The 27,103-nt window shown below is 46.0% G+C and overlaps 2 protein-coding genes and 1 long non-coding RNA gene across 12 annotated transcripts in view, besides 1 other annotated feature; 2 read left to right on the top strand and 1 right to left on the bottom strand.

Annotated features, from left to right (window-relative positions):
• The window catches only part of RNF121 (ring finger protein 121), a 68,552-nt gene extending 63,525 nt beyond the window's left edge, over positions 1-5,027 (bottom strand). For all 7 annotated transcript variants that reach the window (NR_024148.2, NR_024147.2, NM_018320.5 and 4 more), the window contains exon 1: positions 4,949-5,027. Coding sequence is in view for 5 of the 7 variants with exons in the window: in NM_018320.5 (NP_060790.2) it covers positions 4,949-5,011 (63 nt within the window). In the remaining 2 variants the exon portion in view is untranslated. The remainder of the gene's footprint in view (positions 1-4,948) is intronic.
• Positions 5,337-5,646: an enhancer, noted in NCBI's record as "active region_5171". NCBI's record gives its function as "activates an Ori minimal core promoter by ATAC-STARR-seq in GM12878 lymphoblastoid cells {active_cell/tissue: GM12878}" and the evidence as "EXISTENCE:reporter gene assay evidence [ECO:0000049][PMID:35858748]".
• XNDC1N-ZNF705EP-ALG1L9P (XNDC1N-ZNF705EP-ALG1L9P readthrough) overlaps positions 5,479-27,103 on the top strand; it is a 123,614-nt gene continuing 101,989 nt past the window's right edge. The window contains exons 1-6 of one of the 3 annotated variants that reach the window (NR_172895.1): positions 5,479-5,708; positions 10,598-10,764; positions 15,047-15,188; positions 16,297-16,452; positions 16,766-16,908; positions 17,839-17,999. This is a non-coding gene — a long non-coding RNA (XNDC1N-ZNF705EP-ALG1L9P readthrough). Of the gene's footprint in view, positions 5,709-10,597; positions 10,765-15,046; positions 15,189-16,296; positions 16,453-16,765; positions 16,909-17,820; positions 18,000-27,103 lie in introns of all 3 variants that reach the window. The other 2 variants (NR_172894.1, NR_172893.1) reach the window with 2 other exon arrangements.
• XNDC1N (XRCC1 N-terminal domain containing 1, N-terminal like) overlaps positions 5,479-27,103 on the top strand; it is a 63,086-nt gene continuing 41,461 nt past the window's right edge. Inside the window, exons 1-6 of one of the 2 annotated variants that reach the window (NM_001375848.2) lie at positions 5,479-5,708; positions 7,969-8,140; positions 10,598-10,764; positions 15,047-15,188; positions 16,297-16,452; positions 17,821-17,999. In NM_001375848.2, coding sequence (NP_001362777.1) covers positions 10,720-10,764; positions 15,047-15,188; positions 16,297-16,452; positions 17,821-17,999 — 522 coding nt within the window. In that variant the 5' untranslated portion in view covers positions 5,479-5,708; positions 7,969-8,140; positions 10,598-10,719. The remainder of the gene's footprint in view (positions 5,709-7,968; positions 8,141-10,597; positions 10,765-15,046; positions 15,189-16,296; positions 16,453-17,820; positions 18,000-27,103) is intronic. The other variant, NM_001375847.2, reaches the window with a different exon arrangement.

Below are 27,103 nucleotides of genomic sequence, written 5' to 3'. Positions count from 1 at the left end.
AGGCAATAAGGGAAAAGAAAGGTATTCTAGGCAGACTGGACAGCACCAACAAAGCCCGGAAGTAATTAGAAACAGTACATAGAGTGCTAGAGCCAGAAAGAGCTAGAGACGATTTCATCCAATAACTCAATTCTCACGGGGATGTCGTAAACATTTAATAAAAAAGCATATACCATTAGGCAGAGGAGCTGGCATATCACAAACATCCAGTAAATGGTAGCTATCATACTATTAATCAAAAACAACGATTATCAAATACTTATTGGGTGCCTACTGTATGCCAGGAACATGCAGAGTGAAGAGAATACAATGGTGAGCAAGATACACTTGGACTCTGCTCTCTCACGAAGCTTACAGTCTAGTGAGGAAGGCAGACAATTTTATAATGCTTGGTGAGCCTAGACAAAGTACAAGCGGGCTGAGGGAACATGAAGTGGGGTCACCCAATCAGTGGACTATAACAGAAAAATCCTTGGTTTTCAAAGGGTGGCTTCAAGCACCTTAGGGGTTCTGTTGAATCCATTCAAGGACCACAAGGCTTCAGAGTGAAATTTTGTTTGAATAAAAGGTTTCATGACTAAATAAAGGTTTAAAAACCACCAATCTAGTCCAGTCTTCTCTTTTAACAAGAGCAAAACAGGGCCAAAGAGAGGTAAATTATTCACTTGAGGCAATAATATTAATACCTCAAGTTAGCTGCAGGCTGGGATACCTGCTTTGAACTCTGGCTTGAGTTAGAAACTCCTCACTGATATGCATGATTTCACATCATTTTGGCAGATAAATAGGACTTGAGAGTGGACACATCCAGATTCACAGGCACTAGCCAGGCAATGCCCTGGCTGGCCCTATTGGGTATTGAAGTGCTTTTTTACCTTAATTCCCAAGCTAGCTTTCTGTGCCAAAAGGGTGCATCTAATTCCTCTCAGAGGTTGGTTAGCCTCCCCTTTGAGGAGGAAATCACTAGCTCCAGGAGTAGATTGGCTTTTGGGCCACCTAACTGGTACCCACATCTTATCCTACTAGCATCTCAAGCATGCTGTACTTTGGCAGGCTGAGAGACAGAACTGAGCTTAGGCAGTCATCATGGCCAGTTTAATACCTGAGCTGAGCTGGCTAGGCCCATCTCTCCTCTCCCTAACTACCAACAGGCTAATCATCCCTCCTGAAAAGGGGTTCAGCAGAATCCACCAGTTATCAGTAAGTTAAAGGACCTGTATGGAAAAACCAATATTCTTTTGGTTAACCCTCATTTTGATCCCCTCAGGGATGACATGCTGCTTTATGTTTTGAAAATGGAAATTTTATACACAAAGAAAAGAGTTTGGGTCTTTAAAATGAAGGGAAACAAACACTCTGGAATCTGGAAACATGGGTTTAAATCTTTGTGACACCACTTGGTAGCCTCAAGACTCTTGGCCTATCTCAAATCCTCTGAACCTCAGCTTCCTCAATCACAAATAGGGAATACTAATAAAACCTTCCTCACAAATGTGAGATTCAAAATGCTCTTTTGAATCACAGCCACTTATCAAATATACGGTATCAATTTTTACATGAGATGATTAAGACGATACAATTTTAAAGTTCCCACCCCCTAGAGCACAAATAGTGGAGTAAGAAATGGAACCCAGGTGCTCAGTATAGCATGGGCTAAGCTCCATATAGCACAGGCAGGCCTGGATCAGAAGCTGTACTTCCCCATTCACAAACTGTGGAATCCTAGGAAAGTTCTTTAGCCTCTCTAGCCTCAGTTTCATTTATAAAATGGGGTTAACTCCATCTAATTCACATGCCTACTGTTAATAATAAATGAGATGATGCAGGTAAAGGGTTTTAAACAGAGGCTGGTGTATGGTTAAGAGCTGAATAAATAGTAGCCTTTTCTACTGGTAGCTCTTTTCCTAAACCCTCTTTTCTATTTATCCCTCTAAAGAAAGAAGCCATTAGGAAAGCCTAAATTACGTCTCAACTTCTAGAGAAAGTATTAATGAAACCAGACAAAAAAAGAGAAAAGGAATATGAATGAATGCCATTCCAGACTACGTATCATGCTAATGGCATCTAATATTGGAAAACATAGGTATAATATCCTGAATATACACAGCGTGTAACTTCTTTCCAAAGAAGTAGAAAAGTACACCAACTCCATCTTAGCCAGGCTACCCATTACCCAATTATAATCTCGGCTCCACATTAGAGTCTATCAATAAAACAGAAAGTGCTACACAGGGGGCAATATTAATGCCACATGTAAACCACTGCTCTTTTGTAAACCCAACCTTTTTCAGCTCAAACCCATCTCTATCATAAAGACTTTACTGACTCCCCCTAGCTGACTCAAGTGCTTGATCTCTTGTGCCCCACTGCATTTGTTACATGCCTCCATTACAGCAATTATCTAGTATTATAATACGCTATTTGCATGTCTCTTCACTCGACTGTAAATTGGTAAAGATCCTGTCTTACTCATCTTTGAATTATCAGTGCATAACACACAGTAGACCCCATAATTACATATTAAAGACGGATTTCACCTGCTGTTTCACAAGCTAAGGCTGCAAAGAAACAGCTGGGGAGACATTAGTAGAAACCTGAATACCAACTAAGGTCTGCCAGACCAGACCTCTGTTATTTTTGGAGCTTGAAGGGATGACTGTTCTGCTTCTCAGAGCTTACTTTCTCAAACATACAACAACAAAAAAGATAGAACCAGTCCACACGGAATTTCCAGACAACAGATTATACCTTTTCTCAGGAAATGAAACAAGTAACAAGGTTCCTGGAATGAATGCTAGTGGTTTCATATAAAGTTAACTCCTATGCATGATACTCTGTAAAGTCTATTATACTACTAGACGCTCTCAAGTCCTTCAAGCAATAAAGAAAAGCTAAGAAACAAAAATCAAACATGTCTTAATGAAAATGTTATTTTCTTAGCCGGGCGCGGTGACTCACACCTGTAATCCCAGCACATTTGGGAGGACAAGATCGGCGGCTCACCTGAGGTCAGGAGTTCGAGGCCAGCCTGACCAACATGGAAAAACCCTGTCTCTACTAAAAATACAAAAAATCAGCCGGGCGTGGTGGTGCATGCCTGTAATCCCAGCTACTCAGGAGGCTGAGGCAGGAGAATTGTTTGAACCCAGAAGGCAGAGGTTGTGGTGAGCTGAGATTGCAATACTGCACTCCAGCCTGGGCAATAAGAGCGAAACTCCATCTCAAATAAAAAAAGAAAATGTTATTTTCTCCTCTGCCAAAACTTCTGCTGTTTATCTCAATGAACCCTGACATATGTAACTACAGCTTTGAGATATACGTAATTGTCTCAAGGGAGAGCCCATGACTAACAAACCTTAAATAAGAACTTCAATACAGTATTTACCCTTTCCAAAGTGTCTTCAAATATATCTCACTGAACCACAGCCAACTGTAATCACAGAAATGTAAAAGCTAGAAGGGGTCTTGGAGGTCATTTCCACAACCACTCCACCTAACCAACCAACTGGTATCCAAACACCTGTAGTCTCTAGTGATTGGGAGGTAGAAGACTACAACACTTCTTTAAAAATCCCCCTGCTGTGATCACCTGTCAATTTCTCAGTCCCTTCCTCCCACCTTAATGATCCCAATCAGGTAATCCAACTCCTCCAACTCATCCCACTACCAGGCAACAGTCTTATTGCTTCCCAAGTCCACTTCTCCCTTTCTCTGAACCTCATCTTCAATCATCCCCAATCCTCCCCACTCTTCCCACACCCAACACACAGCAAGGGGCCTCTAAGATTCTGACCCCTCAGAGATCTCACTGGTTCTATCTCTGACAACCAATCCCCTTCCTCCTATTCCTGTGATGTCTTTGCCCATATGCTGGCATGTGCAAGATCACAAACACCACTAGCTATCAATGTCTCCATGGCTTCAGAATCTTTTCACCTCTGTCTCTGCTTCTCTGCCCTGTCCCTTCATTCCTTTCACACTCAACATCTCCTTCCTCCTAGTGATTCCTTCAAGGACCACTGGTATTTTAATACACCAGTCTTTAAATGCCTATTAGATAGGTAAAGGGAACATACAATCTCAAGGAGCTCACCTTCAAGGAACTCATAAATCCAGAAGAAGAGAGAGACACTTATTTATCGTTTAAAACTCAGCAACTCCGGGAAGCCTTCCCTATCCCAAGCTGAAATGTTGCACACTTCTCAGTGCCACCATTATATCTCTAATGCAATGACTAGTCTTCTTGTCTGTCTCCCACCACTAGACTGTGGGCTCTTCAACGGAGGGGCCCCTTGTCTCCCTAGCACCTGGCCCAGAACCCGGAGCAAAAGTCATAATGTTTATTAAGTGAATAAATGCATGAATTCCGGCATACAATCATTTATTCATCCACTTGTTCCTTCATTCGTTGGCCAAAACTTTACTGAGCATGCATTAGATACAAAGTCTTAGAATGGAACGATAAATAAAACAGTTCCAACTTTAAGATAACTCAAAGCTATACTACTAGTGGATTAGCACTCTTTCCCGGTCTGTGTCCCCAACCCCCACCCTAGGCTTAGACAGAGTCCTCTCCCACAGTAGAAGCCCAGCCTTCCCCTGAAGAAATTCACGTCCCTCCAACTCAAACTACCTCTTAGCCCTTCGGTCCTACCCTAAGACACCCAGCTAGTAATCACAAAATCTTAACACCCCCACCCCTCCGACCTCTCTCTCTGTCCTCCATCTTCACCCTTGAGGCTAATGCAAGTCTTCTACTCCCAAGGCCGCCTCGGAGTCCCCAAGTCAGGAGTGCCTCTGACTTCGCTCTCCACGCACCCGCCCCCTAGTCAGCTCCTTCCCTCTCAGGATCTTTCCCTTCTCTCCTAAGACCCCCACCTCCCGATACCTCACTGCCCCTCCCCTCAGTCTCAGGTTGAGTCTCTCCTCGTCTCTCAACTCCGCTTACCTCATCCAGCTCCCGTTCCCCAGCAGCACCACCTCCAACCTCCACCTCCACCACTGCCGCCATCTTCACGGCTCGCCCCCTCACCGCAGTCCCCGCGCGAGCCAGCTGCTTCCGCTGCTCAAGTGCTCCTAGCCAATCGGCGGCTCGGACTCCAGCAGAGGGGGCGGGGCATCAACACAGGCGGAGACTGTCAGGGATCAGGAGGTTATCTACTTGCTGCACGTTTCAGGGTCAAGGAGAGGGGAGTACCGTGCCCTTGCAAGCTTCAGCAAGGGAGCGTTCTTGGAAAATGAGAAATTTGAATCGCATTATTTTCAGTGCAACTATTTAACCAATTCTTCCCTTTGGAGAGCCAAATGGGAGCGTTCCAAAACGGGCAACTTTCGCGACGCTCCCTCAGTCTGGGCTCCAAGGAGCGAGACGTGGGGACTAGGAACTACGTTTCCCAAGCTGCACTGAGGCTGACCCGGAAGTTTAAATTCCGCTCCCTCCACGAAAGAGTTGTAGTGAGTGAAAATAAATATTAAAACACACGGAAATGTATTTTCCTGGCTGCAGCACCTGCCATCTTGCCTCGGTAGGACTCATTTTCAAAAACAGCAGCTTCTTGAAGCCCCAGAACGCATTCCTGTGCTACGGAAGACGGAAGAGTAGCTCTCGGGGTCAGAAGGCGAAGGTCAGAAGGCCGAATTGGCGGGAGAATAGGTTTGGTGGTCCGAGATCCGAGGCAACGGTGGCTCCTCGAGGTCCACGGTCCCGGGTGAGGGGCGTTGGGATTTGTTGATGGGGAGGGGAGTGGCCGAGAGGGAGGAGGGTGGCCATCAAGGAAATGAACTGAGCAGCCTGTTCCCGATGAGCTGTGAAAGCAGCGGTGCGGCTTGAGCTCCCGAAACTGAGAGCTGAAGAGCCTTGCGGGACCTCCAGGGCACCCACATTCCGCGTCTTACTTAGGCTGTCATGCCAGTTCACACACCTCGGCACACTTTTCTAACCCACATCCTGCGGCCCCAGCTTCTGCCTTACCCTCCTTTTTATACACCATTCACTGTCCCACCCCTACGTATACCTTCATAACTGATTTTTCAGCAGCCGGTGAACTCGATACCTTGCAAGCCTGTAGCCCCAGCTCACACGCCTCTGGGCGTCCGCCTGGATCTGTCTGGTGAATGGAACTAGGATGGCCTGTGAGCCCACAGAACGTCTAGAAAAGTCAGCTTTACATTGGGACCAACAGAAAATTACAGGGAATTATCTACATCATCCACAGGCATCCCATTTACTTAAAAATAATCATTTTTATTTTGTGACACTTAATACGGAGAATATTGTAAATACTGTACACCCATCACCCTAAATTGACTACTGGCATTATGATTTATTTGCTTATTTTTTAAAAGCTAGATAATACAATAAAAGTTAAACTTACCTGTTTTTTCTACTCTCAAGCCTATTACCCTCTCATCCTCTCCAGAAGCAACTATTATGAATTAGAATTAGCTTGTGTTCTCCCAGTCCATTTTTAATAATTATATGTAGCCATGACTATATAGTATTGTATTGTGTTTCATTTTGTTTTTTAATCTGAGTGCTTTTTTTTTTTCTTTGAAACGGTGTCTCGCTGTGTTACCAAGGCTGGAATGCACTGGTTCAATCTGGGCTCACTGCAGCCTCCGCCTACTGGGTTCAAACGATTCTCATGTCTCAGCCTCCCAAATAGCTGGGACTACGTACGCGCCACCACGCCTGGGGAAATTTCATATTTTTAGCAGAGATGGGGTCATGGCCATGGTCTCGAACTCCTGACCTTAAGTGATCCACCCGCCTCGGCCTCCCAAAGTGCTGGGATTACAGGTGTGAACCACTGTGCCCAGCCTGAGTGATACAGGGTCCGGCTCTGTCGCCCAGGCTGGAGTGCAGTGGCGTGATAACTGCTCACTGTAGTCTCATCTCCCAGGCTCAAGCAATTCTCCCACCTCAACCTTGTGAGTACCTGGGACTATAGGCATGTGCCACCACACCTGGCTAATTTTTAAAAATATTTTGTGGAGATGGGGTCCCACTATGTTGCTGGTCTTGAACTCCTGGGTTCAAGCAATCCTCCTGAGCCTCCGCCTCCCAAAGTGTTGAGATTACAGGCGTGAGCCACTGTACCCAGCCTTTTAGGTATAATTATTTGTCTTTTATTTTATTTTATTTTATTTTATTTTATTTTATTTCATTTTTTGAGACAGAATCTCACTTTGTCACCCAGGCTGGAGTACAGAGGGGTGATCTTGGCTCACTGCAACCTTTGCCTCCCGGGTTCAAGTGATTCTCCTGCCTCAGCCTCCTCAGTAGCTGGGATTACAGGCATGTGCCACCACACCCAGCTAATTTTTGTATTTTGAGTAGAGACAGGGTTTCACCATGTTGGCCAGGCTGGTCTCAAACTCCTGACCTCAAGTGATCCACCCACGTCAACCTCCCAAAATGCTGGGATTACAGGTGTGAGCCACCACGCCCAGCCTAGGTATAATTTTTTAGATACGTTGTGAGGTAGGGATCTACTTTTATTTTTCTTCACATTGTCAACCAATTTCCTGAACATCATTTATTACTTTATTGTTTCTGACAGAATCATGATGCTGCTCTGAAGTGTGGGAGATCATGAACATGACAAAAATCCACATCCTCAAAGAGCTTGCTACTTAGTGAGAAGGCATACAGGGTAAACGAGTAATTACCAAAAAATGGCAGCAACAGTTTTTGTAAGGGAAGGAGTTCTCAAAGAACTTAATCTTGTGAGAACTACAAGCAGTTTGATTGTCAGGATTGCCAAACCAAGAGTGTTTATTTATTTATGTATTTATTTATTTTTGAGACAGGGTTTCACTGTCTCCCAGGCTGGAGTGTGATGGTGCAATCTCAGCTCACTGCAACCTCTGCCTCCCAAGCTCAAGCAATCCTCCTGCCTCAGCCTCCTGAGTAGCTTGGACTCCAGGCACACGCCACCACATTTGGCTAATTTTTTTTTTTTTCAGAGATGGGATTTCGCCATGTTGCCCAGGCTGATCTTGAACTCCTGGGCTGAAGATATCCACCCTCCTCGGCCTCCCAATGTGCTGGGATTACAGGCCTGAGCCACCATGCCTGGCCCAAGTGTTCATTGATGATGAGAGATGGGCTTTTCGCATCAAATCACAAAAATATGCTGTGAGTTTCTTCAAAACAGAGACTATGTCTTTTTATTTATTTTTATTTTTTTTGAGACGGAGTCTTGCTCTGTTGCCCAGGCTAGAGTGCAGTGGCGTGATCTCGGCTCATTGCAAGCTCCGCCTCCCAGGTTCACGCCATTCTCCTGCCTCAGCCTCCCGAGTAGTTGGGACTACAGGCCCCCGCCACCACGTCCGGCTAATTTTTTGTACTCCTGACCTCGTGATCCGCCCACCTCAGCCTCCCAAAGTGCTGGGATTACAGGCGTGAGCCACCGCGCCTGGCTCAGAGACTATGTCTTATTTTTATTATTTTTATATCTCTAAAATCTAGCAGAAGAGGAAAGATTTTTGTGTGCCCAGTGAGTTCCCGTAGTGGGAATAGTGAGCTTTAATTAATCTGAGCCCTAGAGAGGAGACTCAGGACTCATCTTTCATTCTTCTGTCTTTGAAGCCTTAGCCGCATACTGGCTGTGGCCTGTGAGGACTGCTTGATGTTTAGATGGCATTCACTAAGAGCTTGTTACTGCTATTGCTGCAATCTACCCCATTTTGAATGCTTTATGACTGTGAGCCCTTTGGAGCACAATTTTTATGGTCATTCGTTCAACAGACATTTGCAAATCAGGAACTATATTCTCCCTTTTACATTGGGTACACAGAAATGATTCAGACGTGAAACCTGTCCGCCGAGAGCTTACAATTTGTCAAGGGACAAAGAAGACATACCCATATAATTGTAATGTGAGGCACTCTGTTAAAGGCTAAGTGAGAATTGACAGGTTGGAGCTGTCACCTTGAGCTGTTTAAGCAGAGGAGAGGTGACATTTGAGCACCAAAGATGCATTAGATTTGGTAAATGGGAAAGAGAAAGAACATTCCAAGCAGAGGCAATGGCATGAGCAAAATCGTGGAGAAAAGGGAAAAAAAGTTTTGGTGGGGAGGGTAAGAAAAAGACCATTATGGCCAGGAGTATATCAAGAGTCACGGACTCATATTTTCAGGAGCCAGATGGGTAGTAAACATGAATAAAATGGACAGGGATAAATATTTGAAGAGATTCCACCTAAAGACACTCAGACAACTTTAAAAACTCCTTTCAGCAAGGAATTGTTGAAGTAAGGTGATGGATGCATAAGTTCATTATACTAATATGTGTGTTTTTGCATATATTTAAAATTTTACATAAAATGTTTGGCAAAACACGAAGTACAAATACCCATGTGAACTTTTTTTTTTGTTTTTTTTCTGAGACGGAGTCTCGCTCTGTAGCCCAGGCTAGAGTGCAGTGGCAGTGGCACGATCTCTGCTCACTGCAAGCTCCACCTCCCGGGTTCACGCCATTCTCCTGCCTCAGCCTCCCGAGTAGCTGGGACTACAGGCGCCCACCACCACGCCAGGCTTATATTTTGTATTTTTAATAGAGACGGGGTTTCACCATGTTAGCCAGGATGGTCTCAATCTCCTGACCTCGTGATCCACCCACCTTGGCCTCCCAAAGTGCTGGGATTACAGGCATAAGCCACCGCGCCCGGTCCAGAACTTTTTTTTTTTAGAGTTAGGGTCTCACTCTGTCACCCAGGCTGGAATGCAGTGGCACCGTCATGGCTCACTGCAGCCTCCAACTCCTGGGCTCAAGTGATCTTCCTGCCTTAGTCACCTGAGTAGCTAGGACCACAGGCACACGCCACCACACCCAGCTTAGCAAGGGTTTTGCAATAAATCAGCAAGTCATTGATGATGTCTAGTAGAGGAATAACTTCAAGAAAAGCTAAATGTAGGAAGATTAATTTTAAGAGAAGAAAAGTTGTGTCATACATTTAGTCAAACATTTGTTGCCTATCCTTACTATGTACTAGGCTCTAGTGATATAAAGGTGTACAATTTAAGGCACAATTCATGCCCTTGAGAACTCACCTATATATAAATCCAACATTAACATCTTAATATATTATTTTGTACTTGCTGCTGTGCTGCCTTCTGGTTTCATTCGAGTTGGAGCCTCATCAGCTGATCCAAACCTACTCCCTGCCACCACTCCCACCAGGCCCATGTTTGTCATCAGAAATGGACTGACTCGGCCAGGCACAGTGGCTCACACCTGTAATCCCAACACTTTGGGAGTCCGAGGCGGGTGGATCATGAGGTCAGGAGATTGAGACCATCCTGGCTAACACGGTGAAACTCCATCTCTACTTAAAATACAAAAAATTAGCCGGGCGTGGTGGCGGGCACCTGTAGTCCCTGCTACTTGGGAGGCTGAAGCAGGAGAATGGCGTGAACCCGGGAGGAGGAGCTTGCAGTGAGCCAAGATTGCGCCACTGCACTCCAGTCTGGGTGACAGAGCAAGACTCTGTCTCAAAAAAAAAAAAACAAAACAGAAATGAACTGACTGCTGCAAGTAACTCCTGTTACCACAGCCATGGCTAGTTTGTTTTTCTTCTGTTCTCTTTTTCAGGAGTAATGTGAGGATTCTTGCTTTTCTGGAAGCTAACACATAGTCAGTGCCAAAGTAGTGACAGAAGAAATCTTGAGAGGAAGCATTTTTGTCTTGTACTTGAAACAGCTGCTGGGCCCACCATGGCTCCTGTGAAGATCAGCCATGTGGTATCATTTTCTTCTCAGGTATATTAATCAGCAGGCATGATTTGTTTTCTTAATAACTGAAAGGAGTGAAAAAAATAGGAGTCTTGGCTCCACTTTCAGGAAACTCCCAATCTAATAGAAGAGACATTGTGAGTTCAGAGTCTAAGAGAAGAAACAGCTCTTGCCCTCAGGTTGTTCCCACAGAAGTGCAGGATGCGCAAAAGAAGTCTTCTCAGAAGTTGAAAGTACAGAAAGCAGCACCCTCAGGATTCCGCCCAGTTTGAAGGGCACTGGCAAAGCTGTAAGCCCAGAAACTGCACCAGGATCCTCAGAAGGGGAGTTTGATCATTCTATCATTTAGAACAGGGTAGGACACTTGAGGTAATCCCAGACCTGTGAGGTTACCACCAGCATCAAGTGTGATCTCAGCCTCCTTCCTAAAAGTTCTACAATATCCCAATTAGAGCTAGATCCTAGGCCCTGAGACCAGGCCTGATCTGATGTGGTGATTCTGAGGGACTTCCCACCCTTTCCTCTCCTGTCACTGCTCTATTTACTCCTACTCCACCTCTTTCCCTTCTGTTATCCTGGTCTTTCTCAAGGGGTGCCATTGGCATTTGGGGCCATAAGTCTGTATTTTGTAGCAATATTATTTGCATGATGAGATACTTAGCATCCCTGGCCCCCAGGCTTCTTAGTCATTGTGACAGTCAAAAACATCCCCACACATTTCAAGGAGATCCTTAGACCAGGCATGGGACTCATGCCTGTAATTCCAGCACTTTGGGAGCCCAAGGCAGGAGGATCTCTTGAGCCCAGGAGTTCAAGAACAGCCTGAGCAACACAGGGAGATCCCATTTCTACAAAAAATAAAAAATCAGCCCTGTGTGATAGCATGTGCCTGTGGTCCCAGCTACTCAGGAAGCCATGATGGGAGAATTGCTTGAGCCCAGGAGGTTGAGGCTAACAGTGAGCCATGATTGTGCCACTGCACTCCAGCCTGGGCGACAGAGCAAGACCTTGTATCAAAACAAACAAACAAACAAACAAACAAAAAAACCCTTAGAGGATCTTTAGGAACTAATATATTAACCCCTATTCTAAGAAAAAGAAAATTAATATTACACTTACCCTCCTTACCTGCATGGTCAGGCTAAACAATTTGCTTCATAGACTTTTTACTTTTTTTAGACGGAGTCTCGCTTTGTTGCCCAGGCTGGAGTGTAGTGGTGTGATCTCGGCTCACCACAACCTCTGCCTCCTGAGTTCAAGTGTTTCTCCTGCCTCAGCCTCCTGTGTAGCTGGGATTACAGGCACATACCACCATGCCCAGCTAATTTTTGTATTTTTAGTAGAGATGGGGTTTCATTATGTTGGCCAGGCTGGTCTCAAAGTCCTGACCTCATGATCCGCCTGCCTTGGTCTCCCAGAGTGCTGAGATTTACAGGTGTGAGCCACCATGCCCAACTGCTTCATAGACTCTTAGCCTTATAAAATGCTAGAGAACATTAGCTAGTTTCAAACTTCGTGTTTTCCACTGTACTCTTTAGAGATCCACTTCTATAAGTTGAAAGGGAGAGGGGGACAAGTATGTCCTCCCTACTTGTGCTTTAACCAGAGCTCTCCTTTTATTTATCAAAAAAACATGCACGCGTGCACACACACACACCCCCCTCAGTGTAAGATTTCAGTTAAAAGGGTTTTATTGCTAAAACAAAAAAGGTTGAAAACCATGAGTCTGGTCTCTCTCTTTTACTTATGGATGAAGACATTTAGATTACAGGGCTCATACCTGTAATCCCAACACTTTGGGAGGTTGAGGTGGGAGGATAGCTTGAGGCTAGGGTTGGAGACCAACCTGAGCAATATAGCAAGATCCCATCTCTACAGAAAATTTTAAAATTAGCCAGGTGCGGTGGCTTACACCTGTAATCCCAACACTTTGGGAGGCTGAGGCGGGCAGATTGCTTGAGCCCAGGAGTTGAAGACCAGCCTGGGAAACATGGTGAAGCCCCATCTCTACAAAAGTTAGTTGGGTGTGGTGGCACGCACCTGTAGTCCCAGCTCCTCAGGAGACTGAGGTGGGAGGATCCTGAGCCTGGGAAGTTAAGGCTACAGTGAGCTGTGATTATGCGACTGCACTATACCCTAGGTAATGAGCAAGACCCTGTCTCCATTAAAAATACAAATTAACTAGGTGCAGTGGCACACACCTGTAGTCCCAGCTACTCAGGAGGCAGAGGCAGGGGGATCACTCAAGTGATCCTCCCAGGGATTTGAGGCTGCAGCGAGCCATGATTGTATCCCTACACTCCACCCTGGGCAAGACCCTGTCTCTAAAAAAAAAGAAGAAGAAATTTATTTACTTATTTATTTACTTATTGAGATAGGGTCTCACTCTGTCTCCCAGGCTGGAGTGCAGTGGTGCAGTCTCGGCTGACCGCAACCTCCGCCTCCCAGGTTCAAGCGATTCTCCTGCCTTGGCCCCCCAAGTAGCTGAAATTACAGAAGGAAAGAAATTTTGACCCAGAGAGAGAAAGTAGTTTACCCAAGATCGCTCAACCAAAAAATATCTGACTTTAGGTTAGAACTCAGAATTTATATTCAATATCACTATTGTTGATATTGAGTATAAATATCACTTTATATCTAAGCATCAGTTATAAACTTAGAATAAAAATCTTTGACTTTCTTATCCCACAGAATAACTATAAAGATAAATAAATGTCCTTGAAAACATCTTGGCCGGGCACGGTGGCTCACGCCTGTAATCCCAGCACTTTGGGAGGCCGAGGTGGGCAGATCACCTGAGGTCAGGAGTTCAAGACCAGCCTGACCAACATGGAGAAACCGTTTCTACTAAAAATACAAAATTAGCCAGGCGTGGTGGTGCATGCCTGTAATTCTAGCTACTCAGGAAGCTGAAGCAGGAGAATTGCTTGAACCCGGGAGGCGGAGGTTGCAGTGAGCATAGATCGCACCATTGCACTCCAGCCTAGGCAATAAGAGCAAACTCCATCTCAAAAAAAAATAAGAAAAAAATCTTATAAATGAAATAGCGTATCATGGTGGTTAAGAGCTCTGCTTTTGGGCCGGGCACGGTGGCTCACGCCTGTAATCCCAGCTCTTTGGGAGGCTGAGGCGGGCGGATCACGAGGTCAGGAGATCCAGACCATCCTGGCTAACACGTGAAACCCCGTCTCTACTAAAAATACAAAAAAAATTAGCTGGGCGTGGTAGCGGCCGCCTGTAGTCCCAGCTATTCGGGAGGCTGAGGCAGGAGAATGGCATGAACCCGGGAGGCGGAGCTTTCGGTGAGCCGAGATTGCACCACTGCACTCCAGCCTGGACGACAGAGACAGAGCGAGACTCTGTCTCAAAAAAAAAAAAAAAAAAAAAAAAAAAAAAAAAAAAAAAAGAGGCCTGCTTTTGGCTGGGCGCGGTGGCTCACGCCTGTAATCCCAGCACTTTGGGAGGCCGAGGCGGGCGGATCACGAGGTCAGGAGATCGAGACCATCCTGGCTAACACGGTGAAACCCCGTCTCTACTAAAAATACAAAAAATTAGCCGGGCATGGTGGTGGGCGCCTGTAGTCCCAGCTACTCGGGAGGCTGAGGCAGGAGAATGGTGTGAACCCGGGAGGCGGAGCTTGCAGTGTGCCGAGCTAGCATCACTGCATTCTAGCCTGGGCTACGGAGTGAGACTCTGTCTCAAAAAAAAAAAAAACAAACAAAAAAAAAAACCAACCTGGCCAAAATGGGGAAACCCCGTCTCTACTAAAAATACAAAAAAATTAGCTGGGCATGGTGGTGGGCACCTGTAATCCCAGCTACTCAGGAGGCTGAGGCAGAGAATTGCTTAAATTCGGGAGGCGGAGGTTGCAGTGAGCCGAGATTGTGCCACTGCACTCCAGCCTGGGCGACAGAGCAAGACTCTGTCTCAAAAAAAAAAAAAAAAAGAGCTCTGCTTTCCGAAACCTGGAAATTCTGCTTTGCTTGGTTATTTAGCCTATGGCCTTCAGTAAGTTTCTGAACCTCTCAGCTTCAGTATTGATCTGTTAACTTGGAAGTAATAATAGTAACCACCTAAGAATTGTTATGAAGATTAAAGGAGGTCATCTGGTAAATGGGATAGAGAAAAATGGTATCTGTAAACCACTTGGCACATGATAACAGTATTCCTATGGCCTCCCATCTGGTGCCTTTTCTATCATGTTAGGATGACTGGGAAGGTTTGGGGTTTTAGCGATCCCTCATTCATGGGCATCCTTTTTCCCTTGGGCGCAGTGAGATTCCTGATTTTCTCCTCCTCTCTTACTTAGGATCCCAAGTATCCTGTAGAGAACTTGCTAAACCCAGATAGTCCAAGGAGACCTTGGCTCGGCTGCCCTCAGGACAAGAGTGGGCAATTGAAAGTAGAACTACAGCTGGAGAGGGCAGTGCCCACTGGCTACATTGATGTGGGTGAGTTCTCTGTGGCCTAGGAACCTTGAGGAAGAACACAGGAATGACAGTCCCCTCTAACTACTCCACTAACATGTCTCAGTTCATTCTGGCTGAGCAGCCTTTATGGAATAAGTTTTACCTGGGTGTCAAAGGGAAATGTGGCCCTTGCCCTTGGAGCAGATCTGTGTGGAGAACTCCAAGGGCTCTATTCACATAGAATACAATGTGAATGGCGCTCCTCAAATTATGCAACATAACTACCATGCTTTGATCTTAGTGGCCTGGGTAAAACCTTAGGACACTGACGTAATTATAAATCCCGGCCAGGCACAATGGCTCATGCCTGTAATCCCAACACTTTGGGAGGCGAAGGCGGGAGGATCCCTTGAGCCCAGGAGTGTGAGATCAGCCTGGGCAACATGGCAAAATCCTGTCTCTACCAAAAATACAAAAATTAGCCAGGTGTGGTGGCGCACACCTGTAGTCCCAGTTACATGAGAGGCTGAGGTGGGAGGATCACCTGAGCCCAGGAGGTCAAGGCTGCAGTGAGCTGTGATAATGCCACTGCACTCCAGCCTGGGCAACAGTGAGACCCTGTCTCACAAAAAATAAAAATAAATCCCAACAAATAGAACCTGCATACACCTGTAAATATCTGTGTCAGGAGGATGCTGGAGAGATGAACTGTGCGAGGATAATCCAAGAAGGCTGAATAGGAGTTTATGGATTGAGAAGATTGACCTTAGAATTCTCTGGAATTTAGAACTGTCCAGTCCACTGGTCTCAGTTTTGTCGGGACAGAGAGATGTCAGGCACCCTAGCAAGGAATTAAGAGAGACAGAATTTAGCGCTTTCCACCGGGGCCAGAGGACAGAGAAGCAACAAGTCTCTTTAATCAGGGGAAGGTTTCTGGCTGGGAGGAACATGGTGAACGTGTGACATTGGTATTTGGTGGACTGGAGTCTCATTCCACTCCAGTTACTGGCTCCCTGTGGGACTCCACATATCGCTGAACCTTTCTGGCTTTCAGCTAGCTGTAAAGTAGAGGAGTGTCCTCCTTCCACCGTATTCCTTTGTCTTCAGTCATCTCATTCCTCTTATCCTTCTCTCAACCTTTTGTCCCCAGGTAACTGTGGCTGTGCGTTCCTGCAAATTGATGTGGGCCATTCTTCCTGGCCCCTGGACAGACCTTTCATAACCCTGCTCCCTGCAACCACGCTAATGTCTCTAACTGATTCAAAGCAGGGGAAGAACCGCTCCGGGGTCCGCATGTTTAAAGATGGTAAAGAGGGCAAAAGCAGAAAAGATGGGGGTGGTCTTTATGAGAAACAGAGATGCAGTACTAAAGAGGACTGTGAGTGCTATTAGGTGTAGACTGTGGGAGGGAGCCTGTGCAGGGGTTTAATTATATCTGTTGGGGGCAAAGGGTGGTTAAGGAATGGTGTGCTTGTGTGTGAGATTTGTGTGGTGAGGATGCATGCTAGCTGGGGAGATGGAGATTTATGAACTATTTATATTTATATATAACTTGTGGTTCGGTAGGGCCCAATATATAGAACACACACACTTATTGATTAATATATTTTTGTGGCCAGGCGTGGTGGCTCATGCCTGTAATCCCAGCACTTTGGGAGACTGGGACAAGTGGATCATCTGAGGTCAGGAGTTCGAGACCAGCCTGGCCAGCATGGTGAAATCCCATCTCTACTAAAAATACAAAAATTAGCCGGGCATGGTGGTGAGTGCCTTTAATCCCAGCTACTGGGGAGGCTGAGGCGGCAGAATTGCTTGAACCTGGGAGGCAGAGGTTACAATGAGCCAAGATTGGGCCATTGCACTCCAGCCTGGGTGACAAGAGTGAAACTCTGTCTCAAATAATAATAATAATAATAACAATAATATGTTTTTGTGGGTATAAGTGTGGATGTAGGATAGATGTTTATGTAAGTGATGGAAGGCTACATAGTGGTTATAGTTGTGTAGCATATAATGTTTACTGAATTTATACAAATCTCTGTTCACTAGGCACTACAGAAAAACATAAGATCTGATTCCTAGCCTCTAGGGATGTACAGTCTCATAAGGATTTGTCTGTTTTAAGTTGGAAGTATTTGTAATGTTGTAAAGGAAGAGTGACATTGGAGGGGCATATGATTTGGAGAAAGTGAGGTACTGACTGGACAGTGTTAGGAACTAAAGATGTGGAGGGTTGGTGATATCGGAATGTGATACCGTGAGCATGTAGAGCACGTGGTGGTGTGAGGGAGGTTGAGGTCTTATGATCCAGGAAGGGCCAATATATATCTCAGGTAATCCACTGGGTCCTTACTCTGCAGGTAACTTCTTCTTAAAATGAGATATTGATGAGGTCCCTGGAGAGGTATAGAATTCATGCTGAGAATAGTGTGGAACTGTGACAGAGGAGTGATGAGAAGGCAAGAGACTGAATATGAGAAGGCCCTGACTGGCCTGCTTGGCATTACCATACCCTGAACACCCAAGCCTAAGGGGACATTTACTGAAGACCTCCTTCTTTTGTTGGAGGTTACTCTCTATAGCTCTTTTCCTTAGTATTGACCTTTTCTTCCTCTGTCTCTCCCATTTATGCATTTCCATTCCCCCCTGATTTTGTTTCTCTTTTTTCCTTGAGTTGATTTCCTGGCTCCAGCCTCAGGAGAGTTATGGGATCGACTTCGCCTGACCTGCTCCCGACCCTTCACGCGTCATCAGTCCTTTGGCCTGGCCTTTCTACGGGTGTGTTCTTCTCTGGACTCCTTAGATGACTCTGTGGTGGGTCCCTCAGCCCTTCTGAGCTCTGTGCTGAACAAGGTATGTATGATGATGGAGTGAGGATTTAATGTTTTCCCTTCCTTTTCAGGTTTCTGTTTAAGAAACTGATGCTTGTTTGAGACATAGACACACACACACGTACACACACACACACACAAATACAAGTATCAACGGGCTTGATACCCTTTCTTACAGGTAGGCGTGAACTCCTCTCCTTCCCTGTCTCACACGTGGAATATGCAAGTGAGTGAGCCTTGGATACAGTATACACAAAGCTTTTGGACTATTTGCTCTTTAGCCATAAATTATTCTTGGATCCAAACTTAAATTCATACTTTATTTCTAAGTTATTGGGTGACTGTAGCTTTTATCAGACTTTTCCTTTGAGCACTCACTGTAAGTCCCAAAGCTCCCGTGTAGTTTCTGTCATTATTCCCTTACAAAGTTATATCTTTACATGTGTGCTCTACAGTTTCATTTGTTCCCCTGCTTTTCTCCCTGTACAACACATGTATACAGGCATACCTTGGAGATGTTCCAGGTTTGGTTCCAGATCATGACAATAAAGCAAGTCACACACATTTTTTGGTTTTTCAGTGTATATAAGCCAACAATTTTCTGAACCTTCAGTGAGTCGTAATCTTTTTTTTTTCTTTTTTTTTTTGGGGACAGAGTCTCGCACTGTTGCCCAGGCTGGAGTGCAGTGGGGCGATCTCGGCTCACTGCAAGCTCCACCTCCCAGGTTCTTGCCATTCTCCTGCCTCAGCCTCCCGAATAGCTGGGACTACAGGTGCCTGCCACCACGCCCGGCTAATTTTTTGTATTTTTAGTAGAGACAGGGTTTCACCGTGTTAGCCACGGTGGTCTCAATCTCCTGACCTCGTGATCCTCCCGTCTCGGCCTCCCAAAGTGCTGGGATTACAGGCGTGAGCCACCGTGCCCGGCCAGCGAGTCGTAATCTTTTTGCTAGTGGAGAATCTTGCCTCAGTGTTGATAGCTGCTGACAGATCAGGGTGGTTATTGCTGAAGGTTGGGCTGGCTGTGGCAATTTTGTAAAATAAGACAATTACATTTGCCACATCAATCTACTCTTCCTTTCATGAAAGAGTTCTCTGTAGCATGTGATACTGTTTGATACCATTTTAACCACAGTACAACTTCTTTCAAAATTTGAGTCAATTCTCCCAAACCCAGCCACTGCTTCATCAACTAAGTTTATGTCATAGTCTAAATCTTTATCATTTCAATAATGTTTGCAGCATCTTCACCAGGAGTAGATTTCATCTCAAGAAACCACTTTGCTCATCTATAAGAAGCAACTCCTCATCTGTTCAGGTTTTATCTTGAGATTGCAGTAATTCTGTCACATCCTCATGTTCCATTTCTATTTCTAGTTCTCTTACTATTTCTTTTTTTTTTTTTCCCGAGACAAAGTCTCTCTCTGTCACCTAGGACTGGAGTGCAATGGCATGATCTCGGCTCACTGCAACCTCTGCCTCCCGGGTTCAAGCAATTCTCTCACCTCAGCCTCCCGAGTAGCTGGGATTACAGACACGCAGCACCACACCTGGCTAATTTTTTGTATTTTAGTAGAGATGGGGTTTCACCATGTTGACCAGGCTGGTCTCAAACTCCTGGCCTCAAGTGATCCACCCGCCTCAGCCATCCAAAGTTCTGGGATTACAGGCATGAGCCACCATGCCTGGCCAAGTTCTCATACTATTTCTGTCACATCTGCAGTTAATTTCCTCCACTGAAGTCTTGAAAGCCCACTAGGAGGGTTGGAATCAACTTCTTCCAAATTCACATTCATGTTGATGCTGTGACCTCCTCCCATGAATCACCAGTATTCTTAATGGCATCCAAGATGGTAAATTATTTCCAGAAGGTTTTAATTTACTTTCCTAGATCCATCAGAGGAATCGCTATCTATATGGCAAATATAGCCTTACAGAATTTATTTCTTAAATAGCAATGCTTGAAAGTTGAATTACTCCTTGATCCTTGGGCTGCAAAATGGATGTTACGTTCGTAGGCATGAAAACAACATTAAGCTCCTTGTACATCTCCATCAGAGCTCTTGGCTTAGGTGCATTACCAGTGAGCATAAATGTTTTGAAAAGGAATCTTTCTTTCTGAGTATTAGGTTTCAACTGTGGGTTTAAAATATTCAGGAAACCATGCTGTAAACTGATGTGCTGTCATCTAGGCTTTGCTGTTCCATTTATAGAGCACAGGCAGAGTAGATTCAGCATAATTCTCAAGGGCCCTAGGATTTTTTAAATAGTAAATGAGCATTGGCTTCAACTTAAAGTCACCAGCTGCATTAGCCCTAACGAGAGAGTTAGCTTGTCCTTTGAAGCCAGGCGTTGACTTCTCTTCTCTAGCTATGAAACTCCTAGATGGCATCTTCTTTTGTTTTTCTTTTTTTTTTTTTTTTTTTTTTTATCTTTTGAGACGGAGTCTTGCTCTGTCACCCAGGCTGGAGTGCAGTGGCACGATCTTGGCTGACCACAACCTCTGCCTCCCAGGTTCAAGCAATTCTCCTGCCTCAGCCTCCCGAGTAGCTGGAACTATAGGCGCACACCACCACACCCGGCTAATTTTTGTATTAGTAGTAGAGATGGGGTTTTAACATATTGGCCAGGCTGGTCTCGATCTTGTGACCTTGTGATCCACTAGCCTCGGCCTTCCAAAGTGCTGGGATTTACAAGGTCACCCCCCGTGACCTTGTTAGTCTTTTCCTGGGTGGAGAGGATGATCTTACTCCCAATATCGCAGGGGGTTAACACACCCCTGTGAAAATCTTCCTATTTTCAGAGGGAGAGAGGCTGATATTACTCCCAGGACCGCAGGGGGTTTCCACACCCCTGTGATACTCTTCCTAATATCCACAGGGAGAGAGGATGATATGACTCCCAATATCGCAGGTGGGGTACAAAACCCTGTGATATTGTTCCTAATATCCAGAGCGAAAGAGGATGATATGACTCTCAATATCGCAGAGGGTGTACACCCCTCCTATAATATTGTTCTGAATACCCTGGGAGAGAGAGGATAAGGTTACGTTGAATATCGCAGGGAATGTACACCAACCCCTCTGATACCCTTCCTAATGTGCAGGGGAAGAGAGGAAAATTTCACTCCCAATATCACAGAGGCAGTACACCCCACTTGTGATGTTGTTCCCAATATGCAAGGGGGAGTACACCCCACTTGTGATGTTGTTCCCAATATGCAAGGGGGAGAGGATGATACTACTCTCAATATCGCAGGGCTGTTCACATCCCCAGTGACATTTTTTCCTAATATCTAGGGGAGAGACAATTATATGACAGCAAAGGTCGCAGGGTCTGTACATCCCTTCCTGATATTGTTCCTAATATCCAGGGGGAAAGAGGATGATATCAAACATGAAAGGGGGTGTTCATCCCCCACGCCTACGATATTGTTCTTAATAATCGTGAGGGGAGAGGATAATATTACTCCAAATATCGCAGGGGTTGTTCACCCTTTTGTGTTTTTGTGCCCAATATCCAGGAAAATAGAGGATGATGTTACTCCCAATGTCAAAGTAATTGCACAGCACCCCTGTGATATTCTCCCTAATATCCAGAAAGGAAAAGAATGATATTACTCGCAACAACGTAGGAAACGTATACCCGCACTGTGGTATCTTTCCCAGTATCCAGGTGGGGAGAGGATCATATTACTTCCAATGTCTCAGGGTGTCTACACCCCTTCTGTGATCTCGTTGCTAACATCCACGTTTGGGGAGGAAGACCCAGATCTCCACCCACCCAGAGTAGGTACGCCCAAGAACTAGTACATACTTTTTACCTCCACACTTTGGCATCTCTGTGAAGTCCACTTGGAGACCTTCAAAGGGGGCTGCTCCATAAGCTCGTATGCCGGGCGGAACGGCTGGACCTTGCCTCGCATCATGCTGGCGGCAGGTAACACACCGCTGCCTCACCGTTTTGGCAAGGGCTGACAAAGGTGAGATGTAGAAATACCAGCCTAACAACTTTTCCAGTGACTCCTGACCTCGATGGGTGGTTTCTTGCACAGCCAGTACAACTGCAGTTCCTAGCAGCTGTGGCACAGTTACTCTCCCATCTGCTAACCGAATCCATCCTTCCTCCATCAATTGTCCTTCCCTCTACCTGCAGAAAGTCCTTTTCTTCTTTAGAAGAAGTAGGTCCAAGATCAGGTGCTTGAGGGAGCACTGATGCCCAGAAGGGGGCAGATGCTGCTTTTGGAGCCTCTGAGTCAGCGCGGGAATTCCCCAAACCCAGCAAGATGGAAGCTCGCTGGTGTCCCCTGCAATGCATAACTGCCACCTTGTGGGGTTTCCATACTGTTTCTAATCATTGCAAGATTTCCTGTTGATATTTTGTGCCTTTTCCCCCAGAGTTCAATAGGCCCTTTTCTTTCTATCACGCTCCATGCACTTGAAGGGTTAAAAAGACATACCGAGAATCAGTGTAAATGTTGACAGTCTCACCCTCACTGAGTTCTAAGGCCCCAATGAAAGCAATGAGTTCAGCTTTCTGGCCTGAAGTGGCCTGGGGCAACGATGTGGCTTCAACAACAGTGTCCAGGGTTATCACTGCATACCCTGCACCTCTCTCTCCTTGGGGGTTGAAGAAGCTGCTCCCATCCACATATAGTTCCCAGTCTCCTGATGGCCAAGGCTGGTCCCGGAGGTCAGGTCTGCTAGAGTGAATTGAGTCCAACACTTCTACACAATCAGGCTCGACAGGGCTCTGATACCAGGAGCAAGGTGGCGGGGTGTAGGCTGTTACAAACTTCAATGGTTATACGGGGATTTTCACAGAGCAAAGTCTGGTACTTGGTGAGTCTGGCATTCGTTAGCCAATGATGTCCTTTAGTATTCATTAAAGTCACCACAGCACGGGAGGCCTTTATGTTCAGGTTTTGCCCAACAGTCAACTTATTTGCTTCTTGTACTTGCAGGGCAGTTGCTGCCAAGGCCCTCCAACAGGGGGGCCATCCTTTAGAAACCCCGTCCAGTTGTTGAGAGATGTAGGCCACTGGCCTCGGCCTGGGCCCCACAGTTTGGGTTCAAAGTCCAGCTGCCATCTTTTCTCTCTCTGTTACATACGATGGAATAGGCTTTGTCAGATCAGGTAGCCCCAGGGCTGGGGATGCCAGAAGTTTTTCCTTTAACTCATGAAAGCCTTGCTGTTGTTGGGATCCGCATTCCAAAGGTTCCCGGTCCCTGTCCCCTTGGTGACCTCATAGAAAGGCTTGGCTAATACTGCAAAGTTTGGGATCCACAGTCTACAAAACCCCACAGCTCCTAAGAATTCTCCCCTGCATTCTGCTCTTAGGCTCCCCTAGATGGCAAATGACCTGCTTTCGTTCTGACCCCGGGCTGTGTTCCGACCCCTGTTGGATAGTAAATCCCAGGTAACGTACCTGCTGTCGGCAGATCTGAGCTTTCTTCTTGGACACCTTCTACCCACAGTCCTCCAGGTGCCGGTGTAGGGCATCTGTTCCCTTGGCACACCCGAATGCCGTGGGGTGTCCCAGCAGAAGGTCCTCAACCTACTGGAGCAACACGCAGCCTAGGTCTCTCCTGGGAAACTTCTGGAGGTCTCGAGCCCACGCCTCCCCGAAGATGGTGGGGGAGTTCTTGAACCCTTGGGGAAACCCGGTCCAAGTGTACTGAGTAGTGACACCTGACTCCGGATCTTCCCACTGAAAGGCAAACAGCTTCTGCCTCTCAGGGGCTAATCTGATAGGAAAGAAAACGTCTTTCAGGTCCAAGCAGGTGAACCAGCTGTCCTCAGCTGGCAGCAACCCCAACAATGTGGACGGGTTATTTACTGTTGGATGTAAAGTCAGTTTAGCTTGATGAAGCAAGCGCAAATCCTGAACCGGCTGGTAGTCCTTGGTCCGTGGCTTGGGAACAGGCAGGAGGGGAGTGTTCCATGGAGACTGACAAGGAACAATAATTCCAAAAGTTCTTAGGTGCTTGAGACGGACCTGGATACCTTGAAGGGCTTCTCTGGGGACCGGGTCCTGTTTTTGCCTCACCGGCTGGGCCCGTCTTCACTGGCCAATCCCGGAGAGTTGTCTTCTGCCCGTACTCTTGGCCACCGCTTAGCCAGAGCTGGTCTTCTCTCTTGGCCCGGCTCAGTTAAGAAAAGTCTCCATTCCTCCTCTCGGAGAACCATAAGGGTCATAATGACTCCCATTCCGGGTCACTTTACCAGCAAAGAGCCATGCTCTGTCAAAGAGATAGTGGCTCTCAGCTTGCTGAGCAAGTCCCTTCCTAAAAAGATCAAGGGACAGTCAGGCATGTACCAAAACTGATGAATGACTTTATGTCCTCCTACAGTACAAGTCTGAGACAAGCAGAAAGCTAGCTTTGCTGAAACCCCCGTGGCTCCGATGACGTCAATATTCTTTTTGGATAAGGGGGCAACAAGGGCGGTTACTAGTGAATGTTCAGCACCGCTATCTACAAGAAAGTCAATATCTCCACCCCTGACTATCATTCTGACCAGAGGCTCTTTGGGAACGCTTGAGCCGGGTCTCCCTCAGTCCAAGAACCCTTCTGCCAGGTTGAGCAGGGCCCCTTCCTCCTTGTCCAGGGCCTCCTGCTCTGAGTCACCTTGTTTTCTTTTGAGCTGAGGGCATTTGTTCTTCCACTGTCCTATTTCTTTACAATCAGCACACTGGTTACGCTGCAAACTCTGACAGCCAAGCTGAGTTTCTTTCCCAGGGCCTCCCTTCCCTTGCCTCTTTGTGGGGGCCCCTCTGATTGCTGCAGCTGACAAACAGGTCGGCATATCGCCGGGCCTGACCTCCATTCTCTTTGCCGTTTTCCTTACGGCTTACTGCATCCCTGTTTACAAACACCTGGCTAGCTATTTCTAGTAATTGGGATGGATTCATCCCTGCAAGCCCAGCCTGTTTCTGCAGTTTTCTTCTCATGTCTTCTGGGCTTTGACGGACTAAAGCCATGTGAATCATGTGCTGATTTTCAGGGCTATCGGGATCACAGGGAGTATACATACGATAGACCTCACACAGTCTCTGGTAGAATTGTGCTGGACTTTCTTCTTTACCCTGAATGACCTCAGAGAGCTTGTTAACGTTTGTGGCCTTCTGAGCTCCCCTCATTAATCCTTCCAGGAGAGCTTCTCTGTCTCGCTTTAGCCTTTGCATATCCCCTCTTTCATGTGGGTCCAACTGAGGGTCGGTTCCTGGCAACTGGGCCCTTCCATACTCTTGGGCGTTTTGATAATCAGCTGGTGCATGTTCCTCTAGCCACTTAGTTGCTGCTTGAGGACTCTCCGCCTTTCTTCGCTGTTAAAGAGCAACATGAGCAACTGGTGCCAATCAGCACAGGTGGGGTTGTGGGTCTGGATAACAGCTTGGAGCAAATCAATTAGGGCTTGTGGCTTTTCGGTATGGGGCGTTGTATTGTTTTCCCAGTTGAGAAGGTCGACACAGGTGAAGGGCTGGTACCCAAAAACACGCCTCTCCAGCACGTGACCATCCTCATCTAACCCAGTATATCGCTGCTCTCTCAGGGGCATTTGTGTCCCCGTTTTGGGTTGTAAACGAGCTGTTGAGGGAGGAGTGGAATGGCGCAATGCGACTTACTGCAATTAATAATCTCAATTATTAATTGGCGCTAATAATTATCAATTTTAATAACCCATAATATAATTTTTAAAATCAATACCGATAATAATAATTAATATTAAATACTTATACTAAAGATAACAATACATGATTATATTAATGATTAATGATGCCTGATATTAATAACTGATATTGATCTTATTCATTAGAAAACAGTCATATTAGCTCCTAATAATTATTAATATTAATAATCTGAAAACTTTTTATTAGCAATTATTTCTTAATATTAATATTAATATCGGTCATTCATATTCATGTTAATAATAAATGAGGAATAATTCATACTAATATTACGCCCTAATACCTCAGTGGGTGTATACCCACCTGTTATATTGCTCGTAATGTCCAGGGAGGGAGAGAGCATGATATTACGTTCTATATCGCAGTAGGTGTACAACCAGCCAGTGACATTGATCCGAATAAAATCTCCAGTGGTTGGAGTATGACGTTACTCACAATATAGCACTGAGTGTGCATCCACCCGTGATTTTGCTCCTAATATTCACAGAAGAAGAGAATGCTATTACTCCCAACATCACAGGAAGTGTACACCCCCGTGTGAGATGGTCCTTAAAAATATTCCAAGGCGGAGGGGGTGATATGACTACATATATGGCAGAAAGTGGACACCCCCAAGGATATCGTTCCCATGATCCTGGAGGGAAGAGGATAATATTGCTTTCAATATCACAGAAAGTGGACACGTCCCCAACTGATATAGTTTCTAGTTGCAACGTGGGAGAGGACGACCTGACACCTGGTATCCCAGGGAGTAGAAATACCCCTGTGATACTGTTCCTAATATTCAGAGAGGAAGAGGATGATATTACTCCCAATACAGACGGGTGTACAGCGGTCTGTGAAACAGTTCAAAATCTCCAGAGGGGGAGGTGATATTACTCACAATATGTTAAACAGGCTGTGAGTCCACCGCGGATCCTAAGAGCCAGGGGGGGCAAGAGGGGCTGGCTCTTACTCCCCGCATCGTGGGGGGCTCCTCGCCCCCCTGCGATGGGGGTCTTAAGAGCCAGGGGGGCAAGAGGGGCTGGCTCTTACTCCCCGCATCGCGGGGGGCGCCTCACCCCCCTGCGATGGGGCTCGTAATATCCAGTGGGGGAGAGGGGGTGATATTACTCCGTTTCTCGTATTATGTTTTCTCTACTGCTACACTTGGTTAACACCCTGGGACATTATTTTCCATATTCTAGGAATGTGTCACTGTTTGAGTCCCGGGGGTATACACCCTGTGATATTATTCGTGATAATGTGGTGAAACGTGAATCCTGATGTCACAAGTGTCTACACACTCTGATATTATTCGCAATACCCTAGCGGGACGTTAATAATAATGTCACAATGTGTGTACAGCTTGTGCCATTATTCTTAATCTCCTAAGGGGAGGTTGATTTTTTTGTCACACGGAGTAGTTTCCCTTTGGTATGATTCGGAATATCCTG

Source organism: Homo sapiens, chromosome 11 (genome assembly GCF_000001405.40).
Source record: "Homo sapiens chromosome 11, GRCh38.p14 Primary Assembly".
In the NCBI taxonomy this organism is placed as follows: domain Eukaryota; kingdom Metazoa; phylum Chordata; class Mammalia; order Primates; family Hominidae; genus Homo; species Homo sapiens.
Note: the sequence above shows the minus strand (reverse complement) of the source record. Positions and strands in the feature narration are given on the sequence as shown.